The sequence below is a fragment of the Homo sapiens genome, chromosome 1, assembly GCF_000001405.40.
Source record: "Homo sapiens chromosome 1, GRCh38.p14 Primary Assembly".
NCBI classification, from domain to species: Eukaryota; Metazoa; Chordata; class Mammalia; order Primates; family Hominidae; genus Homo; species Homo sapiens.
Window position 1 is genome coordinate 48202595 of NC_000001.11, and position 18733 is coordinate 48221327.

Sequence of the window (18733 nt, forward strand, 5' to 3'; positions counted from 1 at the left end):
ATTTTACACTTGACTCATCTATTACTGACCGTAAGCATGTAGCAGTGGCACGTGAACTATCACCCCCAATCCTCACAAAAGTCATGCAGTCCCCATCATTATTTTCACTGGATTAGGAAGGAGAGACTTTGAAGAAAGCCATTTGCTCAAGGTCATACAAATAGTAAGACAAGGAGTGGAAAATCAAACCTAGATCTGACTCCCCAATTGCCCAGCTTTCTCTGTTCCCAGATCTAGCTGGAACTTCACTGGAGGAAAGGGATTTGATCTCCACCTTCTTCTGAACCAAGAAAGGTGTAGCCCAGAACTGGGAAGTGAGCAAATTCCTAAGAGGGATGAGCTAGTGAGCTGGAAGGGAGTATTTGTCACAAATAGCAGCTTCCTTTGCCCGACACCCATTTGCTGTATGATAATGGGCTGCGATGGACAGATGGACCAAGAGTCCTGAGATTCAGAGAGAGTTTAAAGAGAAAGCCATAACATTTCAGCCAGTTTCATTATATTTCTGAGATATTATCACAGTGTTCCAGAGAATGTTTACAAAAGTTTCAGAGATATAGATACTTGTGGATTTTCAGAGAGAGAGAAAGATTGGGAGAGTTACACAGAGAACTTAAGAAAATTCAGAACAAGGTAGAGAATAAATAAAAAGTCAGATAGGGTCAGAGATTTTTCTCATACGTCGGCTCCTACTTGCCAGGAACGTCTCAGAGAATGTTCAACATCTTGCTGCAAAATGAAAAGCCCAGTGAATTCCTTGGCTATCTACAAATATTGTATATGGAAGTTAGCCTTACATGGAGAATGAGATGGGGGTAGAAGGGAGTGGAGAAAGGACAGGTACCTAGTGATCTGCCTCATGGCCCAGAAGGCAGGTGGGATGGGAGATGTTAAAGTGTGCTCTACTCCTCCCCACTGTGGTCATCTTTTGTACTGCATATTCTGAAAAAGCCTTTTTTTGTAGGCAAGCTATTTATTGATAATAAAAAATGCGTCATCAGAGAAGACAATCTGGAAAAATACATAAAGGTGCAAAGAAGGAGTAATTCAAAATTACCTTCTTTGATATATTGAGAATAGCACTTTTTCTGCTAGTACATATGTGTGAATGTATATATGCAATATATGAATGGTTTTGATTTTACAAATATATGGTACGTACTCACATATTTACAAATGGAAATCATACTATCTGTAATGCACAAATTATCACACTAAACATAAACCATTTTTTCTCTTTTTATTTACTTAATATTATAAGCACTTTTTCATGTTAAGCAGTCTTTGAAAACACTAACTGCCTGTGTAACATCCCATTCCATCAATGATTCTCAAACTCTAGCAGGTATCAAAATTACCTTGAGGGCTTTAGGAATTCTGAGCCTCACTCCAAGAGTTTCTGAATCAAGAAGTATCAGCTAGGACAAGAATCTGCATTTCTAACAATTTGCCCAATAATGCTGATCTTGCTGGTCTGGGAACTACAAAGTTGTTCACTACGTTATACAAAAATTCCCTTATAGCTGAATATTTAAATTGTTTTTATTTTTAACATGAAGCCACCCCTAGCCCCACCTGGGGCCTCTCAGAGCTTTGTCAGGACCAAGTACCTGGACCTGGTGTTAAATCTGAGTAAAATCTTAATACATGATAATTTTCATAGAATAAATTTCTACAATGGAAATAACTAACTACAAACTTATGAACGTTTTGGAGACTTAATATGTATGTTCAAGCTGACACAAATAACTGATACCAAAGTGTGTTAAAGGAAAAGACATGGGCCTGGAGGTCGGAAACCTGTGTTTAAATCTTGCCCTGCCACTTGCTTGCTGTCTGACCTCGGACAAGTGACTGGAACTCCCTGAGCCTCGGTGCTATAATTACCACATCAAATATAAACAGGAATGGCCTTCTTTTAAGGTCTTGAACTCAGCCCAAATTCTCCAGCCCTATCTTCTGTCTCAGATAGAATACTGGAGTTGGAAGGAACCTAAGACTGTATCTTGCACACCATGAAGGGTCAGTTTCCCATCCTCTGAGCCTAGGGAGCCATCTATACTTACAACATTCACATCATTTATAACAGTACATTATAAGCAGTTGTTTAAGGGTCAGCCACCTTCCAAGTCAGAGCACGAGGTCATTGAAAGAGATTAGGCCTGGTTCATTTCTGAGTCCCAAGTGGCTATTGCATACATGGCAGATAGTCGCGAAATGTTTGTTGACGGAATTGTGAGGAAGGAGCTCAACCTCCACCATTCCCAAGAAGCCCTGGCATGAGATGATGAAGAGAAAAGAGCATAGCCCTGTAGCTGGGAGCCTTGGGGGTACATCTCAGTCTTCCCATAAATTCACTGAGACCCTGAGAAACTGCCTGACTCCCCCTCAGTTTCTAAGGAATCCCTTATCCCTAATTACCACACAGGGCTAGTAGGTGAAGATAAGAACGTGGTGTGTCGTTTAGACTATAAAGGGTGGTATGGCTGGGACTCCTAAGATCCTCCAGCACCATTATCTGTTCCTGATTTTTACAATTTCAGATTCTTGACAGGGCACAAGATCACCCAAAATAATGACAGTGTTTCCCACCCTGCTTCCCGGCTGGATAAGACCACATGACTAAGTTCTGAGCAACAGAATAATAGTGGAAAGGTTATGTGCAATTTCTAGGAAGTATGCTCTGGAATACTGAGGCAATGGCTGGAGTTTGAGCAGCCATGTTAACAATGAGATGGAATATGGTAGAGAAGAAAGATAAAAGGGGCTGTGCACCTTTAAAAATTGTGAATTATCCTACCAGTCCTGTTCTATCTATCTCCAGACTTACATGAAAAAAAAAAATCTTTCCTGCTTAAGCTACTCTTAACTTGGGCATGTATTATAGCCAGATTAATCGCAGCTGATACATATGGTGCTGCTAATGACAATATTTACATTGAATTACACTTTATACTTTATAATAGCTTTCAGGGGAAAGGAAGAAATTAATGTAATATTCACTCATTCATTTATGTGATGAAACAATGACCATCACTGTGTGTCAGGCCCTGGGCCACGTGCCAGGAACAGAAATGAAGCTGGTAAAACCCCTGCCTCCCATGAGCCCACCACTAGCAAGGGAAACAGATGAGCAGTCATGACACAATTGAGCGGTGTGGTAATGAGGGAAGCATGGGCAACTGTGGGGTGCCATAGGACCCAGGATCTAGGAAAAGGCATGACGTCCGGGATGGATGGGAATGGTGGCAGGAGCTGTGGCTCCAGATCCCAGGCTCTGCCTCCGATTGCTAATCCCAGGCTCCTCTGAATCTCCTTGGCTCAATTCCTATGGAGGCATTAGGGAACCTGTGGCCTGTATTTTCCCTCCCAGTGAGGACCAGATGCTGGTTGAAGAGCTCCCCAGAGTCTTGTTGGGATAACTGCAGTCTCTGCTTTCTGTAGAGGATGTGACAAGGTGAGCTTCAGACTCAGGCAGAAGCCACCCCAACTTAAGGCCTCTTGGGGCTCTGGGATTTGTCAGCACCGAGTAGCTGGACCTGGTGTTCCAGGGTGAACACCAGTGTGGAGCCAGGAGAAGCCGTTCACCTGTGAATGATAACAGGGCCAGCACCAACTCCTACTGACTGAGCATTTCTGTGTCAGACCAAGGGGTCTGTGCTTTACACACTCACTTCATACCTCAAGATGACTGTGTGAGGTAAGCCTTGCTGTCCCCATTTCACCTACAGAAAAGCTGAGGCTGGGGAGGGAAAATGAGTTGGCCAGCCTCACACACCTGTGACTGCCCTGCCCGGGCCAGGCTCAGATTCACACGCCTGACTTTTAAAGCCTGGGACTTGAGCCCTCATGGATAATTTAGTCTATCACACTTGAGAGTTCCAAGGTCATTAGAAACTACTGCAGACATCACTTCACAGATGAGGAAGCAGGGACTCACAGTGACATACAGTCTTATCCGGGGTCATCAATGTGCACTCATGACTACTCCATAGTGCTTTCCCAGACAAGCTACCAATAGTGTTTGTGTGTGGGGGGAGGGGGGTGGTGTGTGCATGCGCGGGTGTGCATCTGCTGGACACACCCATGCATGAACTGTAACTCAACACCAAGACCTACTTTCTAAGGTCCAAATGATGGCCATGTCTCTAGTATTAGCTGCCCTTTCCTCCTGTCTTTGTGTGTGGATGCATTGTTTTATTTTTATTTTTTCAGCTTTATTGAGGCATAATGAACAAATAAAAATTATATCTGCTTAAGGTATATGGTGTGATGACTTGATATAGGTATACAGTGTGAGATGATTACCACAATCAAGTTAATTAATACATCTATCACTTCACATAGTTACCATTGTGTGTGTGTGGTGAGAACACTTATGATCCACTCTCTTAGCAATTTTTATATAAACAATTCAGTATTATTAACCACAGTCACCATGCTGTACATTAGAGCCCCAGGACTTACTCGTCTTACAACTGCAAGTCTGTACTCTCCTCCTGTCTTTAGAAACCTGTTTGCCCAGGTACATAGCAGCTGGGCTGCCAGCAGCAACAACAGCTCCCAGCCCTGAGCTGGGGTCTTCCTTCCACATCTGACCCTGGGGGCCTGGAGCACTCTGAGCCCAAAGCAAGACCTCTCTGTTCCAGAACCAAATCTGGTAGCAAAGCCAAGTGCTGTCCCTCAGAGGCCTGGGCCCCGTAGACTGGAGTGAGACTTCTGGGCCTTTCCAACCGCCTCACCTGGGAGTGGAGCTAGGCCACATCCATAACCTTCACAGCCCTCCTGGCACTGTCAGAGCAGCTGTCAGAGGCCAGCAGGAGCTGCTCCATGCCTGGGGAGCTGCTGCCCAGGAGACTGGGCCAGAGAACTAGGGCCCCAGGAGGTTTTATCCAGGCCAGGCTGCAGAGGGCTGCACAGGTAAGAGTTGTCCGGGGCTGGCAGCAGTGAGGTTTCAGTGGCTAGAGTGTACCATTCTCCTTCATTTGCCTTCCTTTCTTTTCTCCACCCTTGGGTTCCTGTCACCATCCTCCTCAGACCTACTCACCTACATAACAATCCTTTCCTCTTGGAATTGAGCATTTAGCCTGTCCACATAGGGTCTCCTTCCACACCCCCGCCACCAGCACTTTGCCATCTGACAGGGAAGCACCCTGAGGCCTTGGCCCTGTTGGTTGAGGGGGGCATACTGTGAAGACAGAGAGCACCTCTCATGGTCTGCAAGGACCCCGTGAGCTTCTTCTCCCCCTGTACCCAGTGCAGAGAGCAGAGGCACTGTTTCCACAATGCCAGGGGCATCACTGGTACTGTATTCTTGGGTAATGGTGCTCCCTGGAGTTGTGCAGTGGGACAGCCTGACACAGGGCCTGGCACAGAATGTGCTCCGTGAGTGGCTGAGATTAATCAATGGAATTGCATTTGTGCATGAACTGAGCTGAGCATAGGCATGTGGGAAAAAAATAGCATCACTAAGCCTTAAGAAATGAGGGCTAGAGGGGGGCAGGAAAGGAGGGATAAGTGAGGGACAGCTGGCAGAGGAGGGCCTGGCACGGCCTCTGGAACTGGGGCCCAGACCCAGTGGAAACCCCTATCCCCAGTCCAGACATCTTTGTGCCCTCTCATGAAGTGGCATTGTTGTCTGGGGTAAATACCCAAGATTCGTTGTGTCATGGCCACGGAAATCTAGGACGCGGACCCCCCAGAGTTAGGTTAAGAGTGGAAGTTAAATAGGCTAAAGAAAGAGAAGAGCTCTCTGTGCATGGGGGTCGTGGAGAAAATGGGTTGCCGCCTCCGTGGTGAAATGCAGATTTTGTAGATGGGCTTGAGGAGACAGTGTCTGATTTACATAGGGCACAAAAGATTGGTCGGATGAGGTGCGTCATTTGCATAGTGTGGAAGAGGCTGACCGCCCCACCCTAATCTTTTCTTATGCAGGTGGGTTCTCCCTGGCCGGAGCCATGTTACCTTGTTCTTTAATGTACATGTCGTGACAAAGAAAAGGGAAGGTGGAGCCTCCATGTTGAACATACCTGGCTTCCAGGTAGCCCTTTTCCATTGGCACAGCTGCCAGCATTCACCCGTGCAAGTTTCCAGCTTGCTTATCTATGTTTGCAGCTCAATTTTTCAGACTGCTCTTTGTTAGAAAAGAGATGATTTGGGGGCTGCTTTTTGTTAAAAGGGAAATCCGCAAGGACCCTGGTGCCCTTTCTATCTGCCTAAATAATTTCTTTCTAGCTCCTGTATCACTCAGAGCTCCCATGCGGAGGGGCAAAACAGAGCCACTGTCCACCCACCACCAGGAGGGATGCCCCTTCCATGCCCTCTGCCCTGGAGGGAAGGGATGGTGGTGCAGCACAGCTTTCAGAGTCAGACAACCCAAACAAGCAGTGGAAATCAGCCAATAAATTTCACTCGCATCTGTGTGAAGAGACTACCAAACAGGCTTTGTGTGAGCAATAAAGCTGTTTATTTCACCTGGGTGCAGGTGGGCTGAGTCCGAAAAGAGAGTCAGCTAAGGGAGATAAGGATGGGGCCGTTTTATAGGATTTGGGTAGATAAAGGAAAATTACAGTCAAAGGGGGGTTGTTCTCTTGCGGGCAGAGTGGGGGTCACAAGGTGCTCAGTAGGGGAGCTTTTGAGCCAGGATGAGCCAGGAGAAGGAATTTCACAAGACAGTGTCATCAGTTAAGGCAGGAACAGGCCATTTTCACTTCTTTTGTGGTGGAATATCATCAGTTAAGGCAGGAACAGGCCATCTGGATGTGTACATGCAGGTCACAGGGGATATGAAGGCTTAGCTTGGGCTCAGAGGCCTGACATTCCTGTCTTCTTATATTAATAAGAAAAATAAAATGAAATAGTGGTGAAGTGTTGGGACAGTGAAAATTTTTGGGGGTGGTATGGAGAGATAATGGGCGATGTTTCTCAGGGCTGCTTTGAGCGGGATTGGGGCGGCGTGGGAACTTAAGAGTGGGAGAGATTAAGCTGAAGGAAGATTTTGTGGTAAGGGGTGATACTGTGGGGTTGTTAGAAGAAACATTTGTCATGTAGAATTATTGGTGATGGCCTGGATACAGTTTTGTATGAATTGAAAAACTAAATGGAATAACAGAAGGAGAAAAACAGGTATAAAAGGTCTAAGAATTGGGAGGACCTAGGACATCTGATCAGAGAGTGCCTAAGGAGATTCAGCAGAGTCCTGCCAGCAAAGATTATTTATTTACTTCAAGAGTTAAGAGTGGCACTTTGGGGATAGCACCAGGAGGTATCAGCTGTGATGGCTTGGAGAAACAGTATAAACCAGCAGTGTAAACAAGAGCAGGGCATGTATGAGTAGTTGAGAACGGTGAATAGGAGTATGACTAGACAGAAGATAGTAGGGATGACAAGTTTTTTGGGGGCACAGTCTAAGTTGGTCTGGTGTCTGGAATGAGACTGGGGCCTAATAAAAAGGAGCGTCTATACAGGAGCTTAAATGGGCCGTACCTTGTAGCATTCTGAGGACAGGTCTGACTTCTGAGAAGGGAAAGTGGTAAAAGTATTGTCCAGTACTTTTTAAGTTGGTGGCTGAGCTTGGTGAGGTGTGGTTTTAAAATACCATTAGTCTGTTCTACTTTTCCTGAAGACTGAGGACTGTAAGGGATATAAAGGTTTCAGTGAATACTAAGAGCCTGAAAAAATGCTTGGCTGATTTGACTAATAAAGGCTGGTCTGTTATCAGACTGTATAGAGGTGGGAAGGCTAAACTGAGGAATTATGTCTGACAGAAGGGAAGAATGACTGTGGTGGCCTTCTCAGACCCTGTAGGAAAGGCCTGTACCTATCCAGTGAAAGTGTCTACCTAGACTAAGAGGTATTTTAGTTTTCTGACTTGGAGCATGTTGAGTAAAGCCAATTTGCCAGTCCTTGGTGGGGGCAAATCCTTGAGCTTGATGTGTAGGGAAGGGAGGGGGCCTGAATAATCCCTGCGGAGTAGTAGAATAGCAGATGGAACACTGAGAAGTTATTTCCTTGATAGGATAGATTTCCACGATGGAAAGGAAATGAGAGGTTCTGAGAAGCAGGCTAGTGGCTTGTACTATAGCATAGCCTGCCTTTGCTGGTGTGTGGCGATTAGGCCTGGTGGAACTGCCATCAATAAATCAAGCGTGATCAGGGTGAGGAACAGGAAAGAAGGAAATATGGGGAAATGGGGTGAATGTCAGGTGGATCAGAGAGATACAGTCATGGAGGTCAGGTGTGGTATCAGGAATAATGTGGGAGGCCGGATTGAAGTCTGGGCCAGGAAAAATGGTAATTGTGGGACTTAACAAAGAGTGAGTACAGCTGAAGGAGCCAGGGAGCAGAAAGTACATGCGTCAGGTATGAGGAAGAAAATAGATTTTGGAAGTTACGAGAAATGTAAAGAGTGAGTTGAGCATAGTTTGTGATATTGAGGGCCTCTAAAAGTATTAGGGTGGCAGCAGCCACTGCATGGAGACATGAGGGCTAGGCTAAAACAGTAAGGTCAAGTTGTTTGGACAGAAAGGCGACAGGGTGCGGTCCTGGCTCTTGTGTAAGAATTCTGACTGCATTAACCATGCCTAGGAAGGAAAGGAGTTGTTGTTTTGTAAGGAATTGAGGTTTGGGAGATTAATCAGACATGATCAGCAGGGAGAGCCCTTGTGTTTTAATGATAATTATGCCGAGATAGGTAACAGATGAGGATGAAATTTGGGCTTGACTGAAGTAATGGGGGCTGTCTGTGAAGCCTTGCGGCAGTACAGCCCAGGTAATTTGCTGAGCCTAATAGGTGTCAGGGTCAGTCTAAGTGAAAGCAAAGAGAGGCTGGGATGAAGGGTGCAAAGGAATAGTAAAGAAAGCATGTTTGAGATCCAGAACAGAATAATGGGTTGTAGAGGGAGGTATTGAGGATTAGAGAGTATATGGGTTTGGCACCATGGGGTGGATAGGCAAAACAATTTGGTTGATAATGCGCAGATTCTGAACTAACCTGTAAGCCTTGTCTGGTTTTAGGACAGGTAAAATGGGGGAATGGTAAGAAGAGTTTATAGGCTTTAAAAGGCCATGCTGTAACAGGCGAGTGATAACAGGTTTTAATCCTTTCAAAGCATGCTGTGGGATGGGATATTGGCATTGAGCGGGGTAAGAGTGATTAGGTTTTAATGGGATGGTAAGGGGTGCATGATCGGTCGCTAAGGAGGGAGTAGAGGTGTCTTATACTTGTGGGTTAAGGTGGGGAGATACAAGGGGAGGATGTGAAGGAGGCTTTGAACTGAGGGGAAAGGCGGCAATGAGGTGTGGCTGTAGCCCAGGAATAGTCAGGGAAGCAGATAATTTAAAGTGTCTCGGCCTAATAAGGGAACTGGGCAGGTGGGGATAACTAAAAAGGAGTGCTTAAAAGAGTATTGTCTAAGTTGGCACCAGAGTTGGGGAGTTTTAAGAGGTTTAGAAGCCTGGCCATCAATACACACAACAGTTATGGAGGCAAGAGAAACAGGCCCTTGAAAAGAAGGTAATGTGGAGTGGGTAGCCTCTGTATTGATTAAGAAGGGGACGGACTTACCCTCCACTGTGAGAGTTACCTAAAGCTCGGCGTCCGTGATGGAATACCAGGCGTCCGAGGTGATCGGGCAGCGTCAGTCTTCAGCCACTAAGCCAGGAAGATCTGGGAAGGAGTCAGTCACAGAGCCCTGGGCCAGAGTTCCAGGGGCTCTGGGAGTGGCTGCCAGGTGAGTTGAACAGTCCGATTTCCATCCGATTTCCAGTGGGGTCCTGCACAGATGGGACACGGCTTAGGACAAATCCTGGGCTGTGGGCATTCCTTGGCCTGGTGGCCAGGTTTCTAGCACTTGTAGCAAGCTCCTGGGGGAGGCAGTTCTAGAGGAATGCCTGGCCGCTGCGGTTTAGGCGTTTGGAAGTTCTTGTGTGCTGGAGATGTGGCTGGGGTTTGTCTCACAGTGGAGGCAAGGAATTGCAACTTTTTTCTATTATTTTACACCTTGAAGGCAAGGTTAATTAAATCCTGTTGTGGGGTTTGAGGGCCGGAATTTAATTTTTGGAGTTTTATTTAATGTCGGGAGTAGATTGGGTAATAAAATGTATATTGAGAATAAGACGGTCTTTTGACCTTTTAGGGTCTAGGGCTGTAAAGCGTCTCAGGGTTGCTGCCAAATGAGCCATGAACTGGGCTGGGTTTTTCATATTTGATGAAAGAGCCTAAACACTTACTGATTTGGGAGAGGTCTGATAAAGAAAAAGGAGCATTAACTTCGACTATGCCTTTAGCTTCAGCCACCTTTTTAGGAGGAAATTGCTGGGCAGGTCGGGGAGGGCTACTCCGGAATGTAAACCGGACCAGGTGTGAGGAGGGGAGGTGATAAAAAGATTTTAGGGTGGAGGAGCGGAGGCTGAGGAAGAACTGGGACCTAGCTTGGCCTGGCAAGGAGCAGCCTGGGGAGGTGGGGAGAGGTCAGATGGGTCTGTAGAAAAGGAAGATTGGAAAGACTCAGTGACGCTTGGGGTTGGGACTGAGGGGACAGGTGGGAGGGAAAGAAGGAAGATTTGGGATGATAATAATCGTCCCAAATAATAATCTGTGCACTGGGCACAGAGACTAGGGAGGGACCAATGTGTAAAAGAATGCCTGAACGTCAGGCACCTCAGACAATTTGCCTATTTTTCGACAAAAATTATTTAGGTCTTGTAGGATGGAGAAATCGAAAGTGCCGTTTTCTGGCTATTTAGAACTACTGTCGAATTTGTATTGGGGTCAAGCGGCATTGTAGAAGAAAAGAAGGCATTTAGGTTTTAGGTTAGGCGAGAATTGAAGAGGTTTTATGTTCTTAAGAACACAGGCTAAGGGAGAAGAAGGAGGACTGGAGGGTGGAAGGTTGCCTATAGTGAAGGAGGCAAGTTTAAAGAAAAGGGAGAGTAGAGATATGGAGGGAAGTGGTTCAGGGGTTCTTACCTTCCAGAAAAGCGGGAAAGGGGTCGGCACGCAGAGATATGAGGTCGGGGTGTGGAAATAAGGGATCAGGGTGCAGAGATACAAGAGGTTGGGGCACGGAAATAAGGGATCAGGGCACAGAGATATGAGGTCAGAGCAGGGAAATAAGGGATCGGGGTGCAGAGATATGAGGTCAGAGCAGGGAAATAAGGGATCGGGGTGCAGAGATAAGAGGTCAGGGCACAGAAATAAGGGATTGGGGATTCTTGCCCCCTAGAAAAGCGGGACTTGCCTATAAGGGTGAAGGAGAAGGGGTTGAGGGGTTCTTGCCCCTCCTCCAGAAAAGCGGAGAAGGGGTAGAGACAAAGAGAGAAGGGGTTGGGGTACTTGCCCCTCCCCCAGAAAAGCGGGACTTGCCACTAAGGGTGAAGGACCAAGGCAGGAGTCCTTGCATGGTCTGACACCTCTGAAACGTGGGTGAATAATCAGAGAGGCTTCCCTGCAATGATTAAACACCAAGGGAAGGCTGCCTTCCCAGTCTGTGACCGGCGGCGGAGTTTTGGGTCCACGGATAAAATGTCTCCTTTGTCTCTACCAGAAAATGAAAGGAATTGAAATTAAGAGAAGGGAGAGATTGAAGTGTGGCGCCAAGATTGAAAGGAGAAAGAGGTTAAGGGATAGTGACGGAGGTTGGAGAAGAAAGTAAAAAGAGGCCGCTTACTGGATTTGAAATTGGTGAGATGTTTCTTGGGCTGGTCGGTCTGAGGACCTGAGGTCGTAGGTGGACCTTTCTCACGGAGCAAAGAGCAGGAGGACAGGGGATTGATCTCCTAAGGGAGGTCCCCAGATCTGAGTCACGGCACCAAATTTCACTCGCATCTGTGTGAAGAGACTACCAAACAGGCTTTGTGTGAGCAATAAAGCTGTTTATTTCACCTGGGTGCAGGTGGGCTGAGTCCGAAAAGAGAGTCAGCTAAGGGAGATAAGGGTGGGGCCGTTTTATAGAATTTAGGTAGATAAAGGAAATTACAGTCAAAGGGGGATTGTTCTCTGGCGGGCAGAGTGGAGGTCACAAGGTGCTCAGCAGGGGGGCTTTTGAGCCAGGATGAGCAAGGAGAAGGAATTTCACAAGACAATGTCATCAGTTAAGGCAGGAACGGGCCATTTTCACTTCTTTTGTGGTGGAATGTCATCAGTTAAGGCAGGAACAGGCCATCTGGATGTGTACGTGCAGGTCACAGGGGATATGATGGCTTAGCTTAGGCTCAGAGGCCTGACAATAAGCCTCATTTCCTCACCTAAAAATGGGATTCATAAAGCCAGCTCACAGAGTTAGTAAAACAATGTAGATCATATTTGGGATGTGACCTACCTGATAATTCTGGCACAAACGGGTAATCATCAGCCTCCTTACCCCTCACTGTTCTGGCAAGGGAAGTTGTCAGCAGGAAGACTGGCTGAGAGTGGTTTTTCAGGAAGAACTTGCAGTGCCCAGGGTGGAAGCCAGCCAGAGGCACATGGAACATGCCCAGGATTTTCCTTGGGGTGGGGAATGCTGGAAGGAGACAGAGAAACACCCAGGCAGCCGCATAAAAGGGGCTTATTTTCTGTATGTAATATTGTGATTCCGTGGGGCAGCTCGAGGGTTCCAGGCTGAAGACCATTTGGTATCCTCAGCCCATAATGCTCTATGCTCCAGGACTTGCCACAGTGCTGCATTTCCTCAGCCAAAGGCTTCCCAACTGACCTAGCCTAGAAACAATGTCAGTCCCTTTGGGAGTGGAACAAACTCAGGGCTGTTCCTCACTCAGGGCTGCAGGCACTCAGTGAGCACTCATAGGAAATGGGAGCTGAGTGAGGAGAAGGAGCACTAAGGGGTGGGGGCAGGACCCCAGGTGGGAAGAATTGGGGGGGAAGCCACACAGGTCTGCATGCTTCCAGTTCAGTAAGAACAGCCAGGACACTCCTCTCCACCCACTCAGCTCAGCACCCATCTCTGCCTAAAGTACTGCATCAGCTGCCTCCTTCTTATCCACCCCCATGCTGGCCCCAAGAGGGATTTTCTGAAACGCCAGTCACCACCTACATTCACTGACTTGCTCCAGTCACTGTAGGCATAAACACAAGTAAGATACCAAGGTCCCCACCCTCAAGGGGCTCACATCTAAGGCAGATGCACCCCAAGTCAATAATCACATTCAGAGAGATAAATGGGGAGTACACTGGGGCTGTGGATTTTCCCAGGCTAGGAGTCCGTGCTTCTGAGGAAACAGCGCTCAGAGAGCTGAAGGTGAGGGAGGGTGTGCCCCTCTAGGAACTGCATGGAGTTCAGTTGAGCAGCCAGGAAGCACAGGAGAATTCTGACCCAAACCCCAGGGGGCATGGAGAGGGAAGAGCCTCTTTGGGAGAAGCTGCCAAGGAAGAAGGTGCCTGCAGGACAACCTAGTCACCATGACAGTTGGTGGACAGTCAGCCGATGGAAAGCTTGAGAACAGAGAGGTGTTGGTTTACATGGGCCCTGCAGCATGGAGAAGGAGGGGCAATGGGAAGCTGGATGGGGCAGGGCAAACACAGCCCCATGAGGGCAGGAAGATGAGAGAGTTGAGCTTTGCACAGAAACTCATACATAAGTGTGGTCGGAAGACAAGGCTGTGAAGCTGGTGGGATTAGCTGGCTCTGAGATTCCAAGCAAGACTCTGGTTTCCAGAATCTTCAGTGAGGGCACAGCCTAAAGCCTATGGGAGACAGGAGCTATGGATCTATAAGTAGGGGCCTGACCCTCCACTTACTGTGAACTGTAGATGGAGTAAACTGGACTCAGGGCACGTAATCCTAAAAGCAATTTTCTTAATCAACTGACTTAAGCAACTTGTTCAATGGGTATAATCCTTCCCTTGTCTTCTGGTTACAATTAAGCCATAGAAATCCCTGCTATCACTTTGAGTCTGAAAACACAGTCTCAATTTGGATATTGTAATGCCCAAGGCCATAGATTATGCAACACTTCAGTCTTCATGCAAACATAAGACTTCTCCTCCCTGCAGGTCCCACCCCCAGCTAGGGCTGCTGCAGGGCCTGCCTACCTTGGGAAAAGGGAATGTATCCAGCTTGTCATGTTTCTCACTCTCTTCCTCCCCACTCGAGAACTGCTAAGTCTGACCCCTGGGAGCAGCCGTTTGAAGAGGGAGGAGGAGTTGCAGGGAGCAGGGAAGTTCTGCCTTTAGTAGGATGCTTTTACCAAGGCTCGGGCTCATGGGCCTGGATCAAGCATAAGGCATCTTCCCTGTGGATGCCCTGGTAGAGTATGAAGGATTCCCCCAGCCTGGGAACCTTCCCTGTGCACTCTTCACTAAGCACTGCATCCCTAAGCCGTGGGCCACTTCAGTTCTTCCACAGCCTCCACACTTCCAGCAGTTCACTTCCAGATCCTGTCAGCTGAGGACCCAATCCCCCTAGGGAGCATATGGAACAGGATGGAAGATCTCAACACTATCTTTTTCATGTACGTGGCCCACATCTAGTTCACATAAACACATGCTAAAGAAACACTCCCACAATCTTTGCCCAACCCCTAGGGGGCAGGCCAATCCCAAACCAACTACTCCCAACTACCCCCACCTGCATACTCCACCAGGACATCCACAGAGAAGAGTCAGCCTTCTGCTGTTCAGGCCCAAGAGCCAGAGCCTTCTTAGGAGCATCCTACTCAAGTCAAAACATTCCTGCTCCCTACAACTCCTCCTCCCTCCTCGAACCACAGCTCCTGGACGCCAGACTTAACAGTTCTCAAGTGGGAAGGAAGTGAGTGAGAAGCAGCGAGGAAGCCAGAGGCTCTTGCCCTTTATGTATTTTTGACTTGAGTCCGACCCTGGTCCACAGTGCCCCAACTGAGGGGTATGCCTCCCAGCTCTCCACGTTTCCCTGCCAACGCTCCTGAACCCGAAACTACACTTGGGGCAAGGGGCAAGCTCAAGGCTGCTTGCCCCAAACCCCTTCCCCCATCATTAGGAAAATGCAACAAAGATTTGTCTAAATAAATGTTTACAAAATCTTTTTGTATCCCCCTTATAGAGTATTTGGAATTGCAAATTCAGTTCTTAGTATTTCCTTTACAAATCTGCTCTTTATTTTGTAATTTGTATGTATACTATGTCTTTTTTTCCTATACATTTTATTGTGGTTAAATATATATAATGTATAACTTACCATTTTTCAGAATAGAATTCAGTAATATTAAGTACACTCACTGTGTTGAGCAATCATTACCACCATCTATCTCCATAACTCTTCTCATCTTCTCAAATTGAAACTTTGTACCCATTAAACAATAACTCCTAAGCCCTCCTCCACCAAACCCTGGCAGCCACTATTCTACCTTCTGTGTCTATGATTTTGACGACTCTAGGCACCCTATATGAATGGAACCATACAGCATTTGGGTCAAAGACAAATGCTATATGGTTCCATTCATATAGGGTAGATCAGCTCTCAACAAAGGGCATTCTTGAATGGCAGCCAAGAATGTTGTTTCTGTTGCTTAAGTCACCCAGTTTGTGGTCCTTATTATGACAGCCCTAGCTATAGGCTCTAAGGAAAAAAGGCAGCAAGACTGGGCATCAATGATCAAGGACTGTTGCTTATGAGAGGTGAGGGTTTCAATGTGAGCTTTTAATCTAGTAAACTCTCTATTTCTTTTCTTATGTATTTGTTTCTTGCCACTCAAAAATTCTCTTTCATTCAGCATAATGTCAAGGTTCATCTCTGTTGTAGTATGTGTCAGCCCTGAATTCCTTATAAGGCTGAATGATATTCCATTAAATGTTTTGACTACATTTTGTTTATCCCTTCATTTGTTGATGGACATTTGGGTTGTTTGCATCTTTTGGCCATTAAAATTAATGCTGTTATGAACATGGGTGTACAAATATTTCTTTGAATCTCTGTTTTCAATTCTTTTGGATATATGCCCAAAAGTGAAATTGCTAGGTCATAGTAACTCTATTTTTAATCTTTTGAGGAACTACCATACTGTTTTCCATGCAGGCTGCACCATCCTATATTTCTACCCGTGATGCACAAGGTTTCCACTGTCTCCACATCCTCACCAACACTTGTTATTTTCTGTTTTATTGATAATAGTCATCCAAATGGGTACAAAGTGATATTGTATCACAATGATAAATGATTAGTGGTGTTGAACATCTTTTCATATGCATTTTGGCCACCTGTATAACTTCTTTGGAGAATTGTCTATTCAACTCCTTTGCTTATTTTTGAGTAGGATTGTTAGTTTCATTTGTGTTGATTTACTGGAATTCTTCATATATTATAGGTACTAATCCCTTATCAGATGTATGATTTGTAAATATTTTCTCCCATTCCATCGGTTGCCTTTTCACTCTGTTGATAGTGTCCTTTGATGCTCAGAAGTTTTTAATTTTGACGAAGTTCAGTTTATTTATTTTTTCCTTTATTGCCTGTGATTTTGGCATCATCACCAAGAAATTATCTCCAAGTCCAACAACATGAAGATTTTACCCTATGTTTTCTTCTAAGAGCTTTATTTTCTTAGCTCTTGCATTTAAGTCTTCAATCCATCTTGAGTTAATTTTCATATATGGTGCAATGTAAGGGTCCAACTTCTTTCTTTGGCATAGGAATATTCCATTTTCTCAGCATCATTTGTTGAAAATGCTGTCATTTTTCCACTGAGTGGTCTTCACACTCTTGTCAAGAATCATTTGACTGTAACTGTGAGACTTTATTTCTGGGCTCTCTGTTCTATTCCATTGGTTTATATGATTGTCTTTATGCCACTACCACACTGCTTTCACTACTGTAGCTTTGTAGTGAGTTTTGAAATCAGGATGCATGAAACCTCCAACTTTGTTCTTCTTATGTGTAGTATGTCTTTGTGCCTCAGTGGCAACTTCCATTTATTGGCCTGTTATATTTCTATACTTTTTTATGCATGGCTGAAACCATTCCCCTTCCCATAAAGCTTTCTCAGTCTCTCCAACAAAGGACTTCATTGATCCTTCCTCTGGGCTATCCAGCTAAAAGGAAGAAAGGGGTGGACAAAAGTGACCTATTTTGTGTCAAAAGCACCTGTCTTTTGACTGTCTGTATTCCCCACAAGGCATGAACAACTAAAGACATGTGTGCTCCCTGAACAGGGTCAGGGATAGGACAGGCCTCACTTCATGTAGGACTGACAGCATGAGGACATCCTTCACTCTCGGAAGCTCTCTGAGAGAATATTCTGGATAATTGAGGCCTCAGCTTTGAATGCCAACACCTGCCTAAAATGTTTGACCATTTTGCATGAAACTCTTCCTGCCTGGGTTTCATACTCCATGCCTTCTAAATAGAAAACTCATAATGACCACAGTCACCTTTCCTTGATGACTCTGGGTCATCCGTATGTGTGTGAATCTTGGCTGCTACTCAAGAATGCCCTTTGTTGAGAGTTGATCTACCCAGTTTTATAGGTCTGTTTGCCCCGATTTAGTCATCTTTTACATTGTCTTTCCTGGTCTTTCCAGGTTTAATGACCTCTCATGCACCATCAACCCATCAGCTGCCATTCTCCTTGCTGTCCCTGTGTAGCTTTGCCCCCTCTCTTCTAATTTGTTGTGAGTTGGGATATGAATAACAAGACTCTGGCTAAAACAAAAATAAACAGTCTCTGAGTGGGGTCACAAGGCTCACTGATAAGTCAAAGATTTAGGTTTTGGGCATGAGTTTTAGAATGTCTATTCTGGCTGTTTCAAAGCCTTTTTTGCTCCCTTCCTCATGCTCTGTTGGTCTCTGGGCTGCTAATGTGCCTGGTTAGCTTACAGATAAGTCTTAGATGCATTCGAGGAGAGGCTACTATAAACCCAAACCTGCTAGTTTTGGATTAGGTAAGTGTGCAGGGTTTGGGGGTCAGCCTCATGTATCTGTGAGGTAGATGGGAAGACAGAGCATGCAGGCAGCAGAACACTGTCCTAGTCCATCCCTACTGCTACAGCAAAACACCTAAGACCAGGTAATTTATAAAGTACAGGAATTTATTTCTCACAATTCTGGAGGCTGGAAGTCCAAGATCAAAGCCCCAGCAGGTTTGGTGTCTGGTGAGGGCCCAGTCTATGCCTCCAAGACGGCACCTTGTGGCTGTGTCCTCACATGGCAGAAGGTAAAAAGGCAAAAGGGCCTGGCTAGTTCCCTTAGCCCTTTTATAAGGTACTGATCCCACCCATGAGGGAGAAGCCCTCACGGGCTAATCACTCCTAAAGGCCCTACCTCTTAGTACTGTTGCATTGGGGATTCAGTTTCAACATGAATTTTGGAAGCAACACAAGCATCCAAACTATAGCAAACCCCAAGGGCTGGGTGAGGGGGCTCCTTGTGGGGAGCATAGAAAGAAGTACAAGACTCAGCTGTCTTCTCCCTGCGACATTCCTTTTCCCATCTCTGGAAGAGTCATCCGGATCCAGAGCCCTCACTATGGTGTGCTCAGAGGCCTAAGCTCAGACCACTCCTTCCCTGCTCCCTGATTAACACCCAGAGATCTGCCAGCCTCATTCCCCACTGTCCCTGTATCCAGCTCACCCCCAGGGACCACTGGGCACCTGGTCCATCACATTTTCCTGATGTTTCTAATGCTGCCCCTCCTGCATCCCTGTTCGTCTGATAAACTTGCCTTTAAACGTGTATATGAAGGACTCTTCCTCTGGTATCTAATCCTAACAGGTGCTAGATCCCACAGAGCCCTGTCCAGCTGGGGACTATGCTGACCTCTCT

General features: G+C 46.1%; 2 annotated features.

Moving 5' to 3' along the window:
- Positions 6261-6940: an enhancer, noted in NCBI's record as "NANOG-H3K27ac hESC enhancer chr1:48674527-48675206 (GRCh37/hg19 assembly coordinates)". NCBI's record gives its function as "activates a minimal SCP1, AML or CMV promoter by ChIP-STARR-seq in naive H9 embryonic stem cells {active_cell/tissue: H9 hESC(naive)}" and the evidence as "EXISTENCE:reporter gene assay evidence [ECO:0000049][PMID:30033119]".
- Positions 11589-12326: an enhancer, noted in NCBI's record as "OCT4-NANOG-H3K27ac-H3K4me1 hESC enhancer chr1:48679855-48680592 (GRCh37/hg19 assembly coordinates)". NCBI's record gives its function as "activates a minimal SCP1, AML or CMV promoter by ChIP-STARR-seq in naive and primed H9 embryonic stem cells {active_cell/tissue: H9 hESC(naive and primed)}" and the evidence as "EXISTENCE:reporter gene assay evidence [ECO:0000049][PMID:30033119]".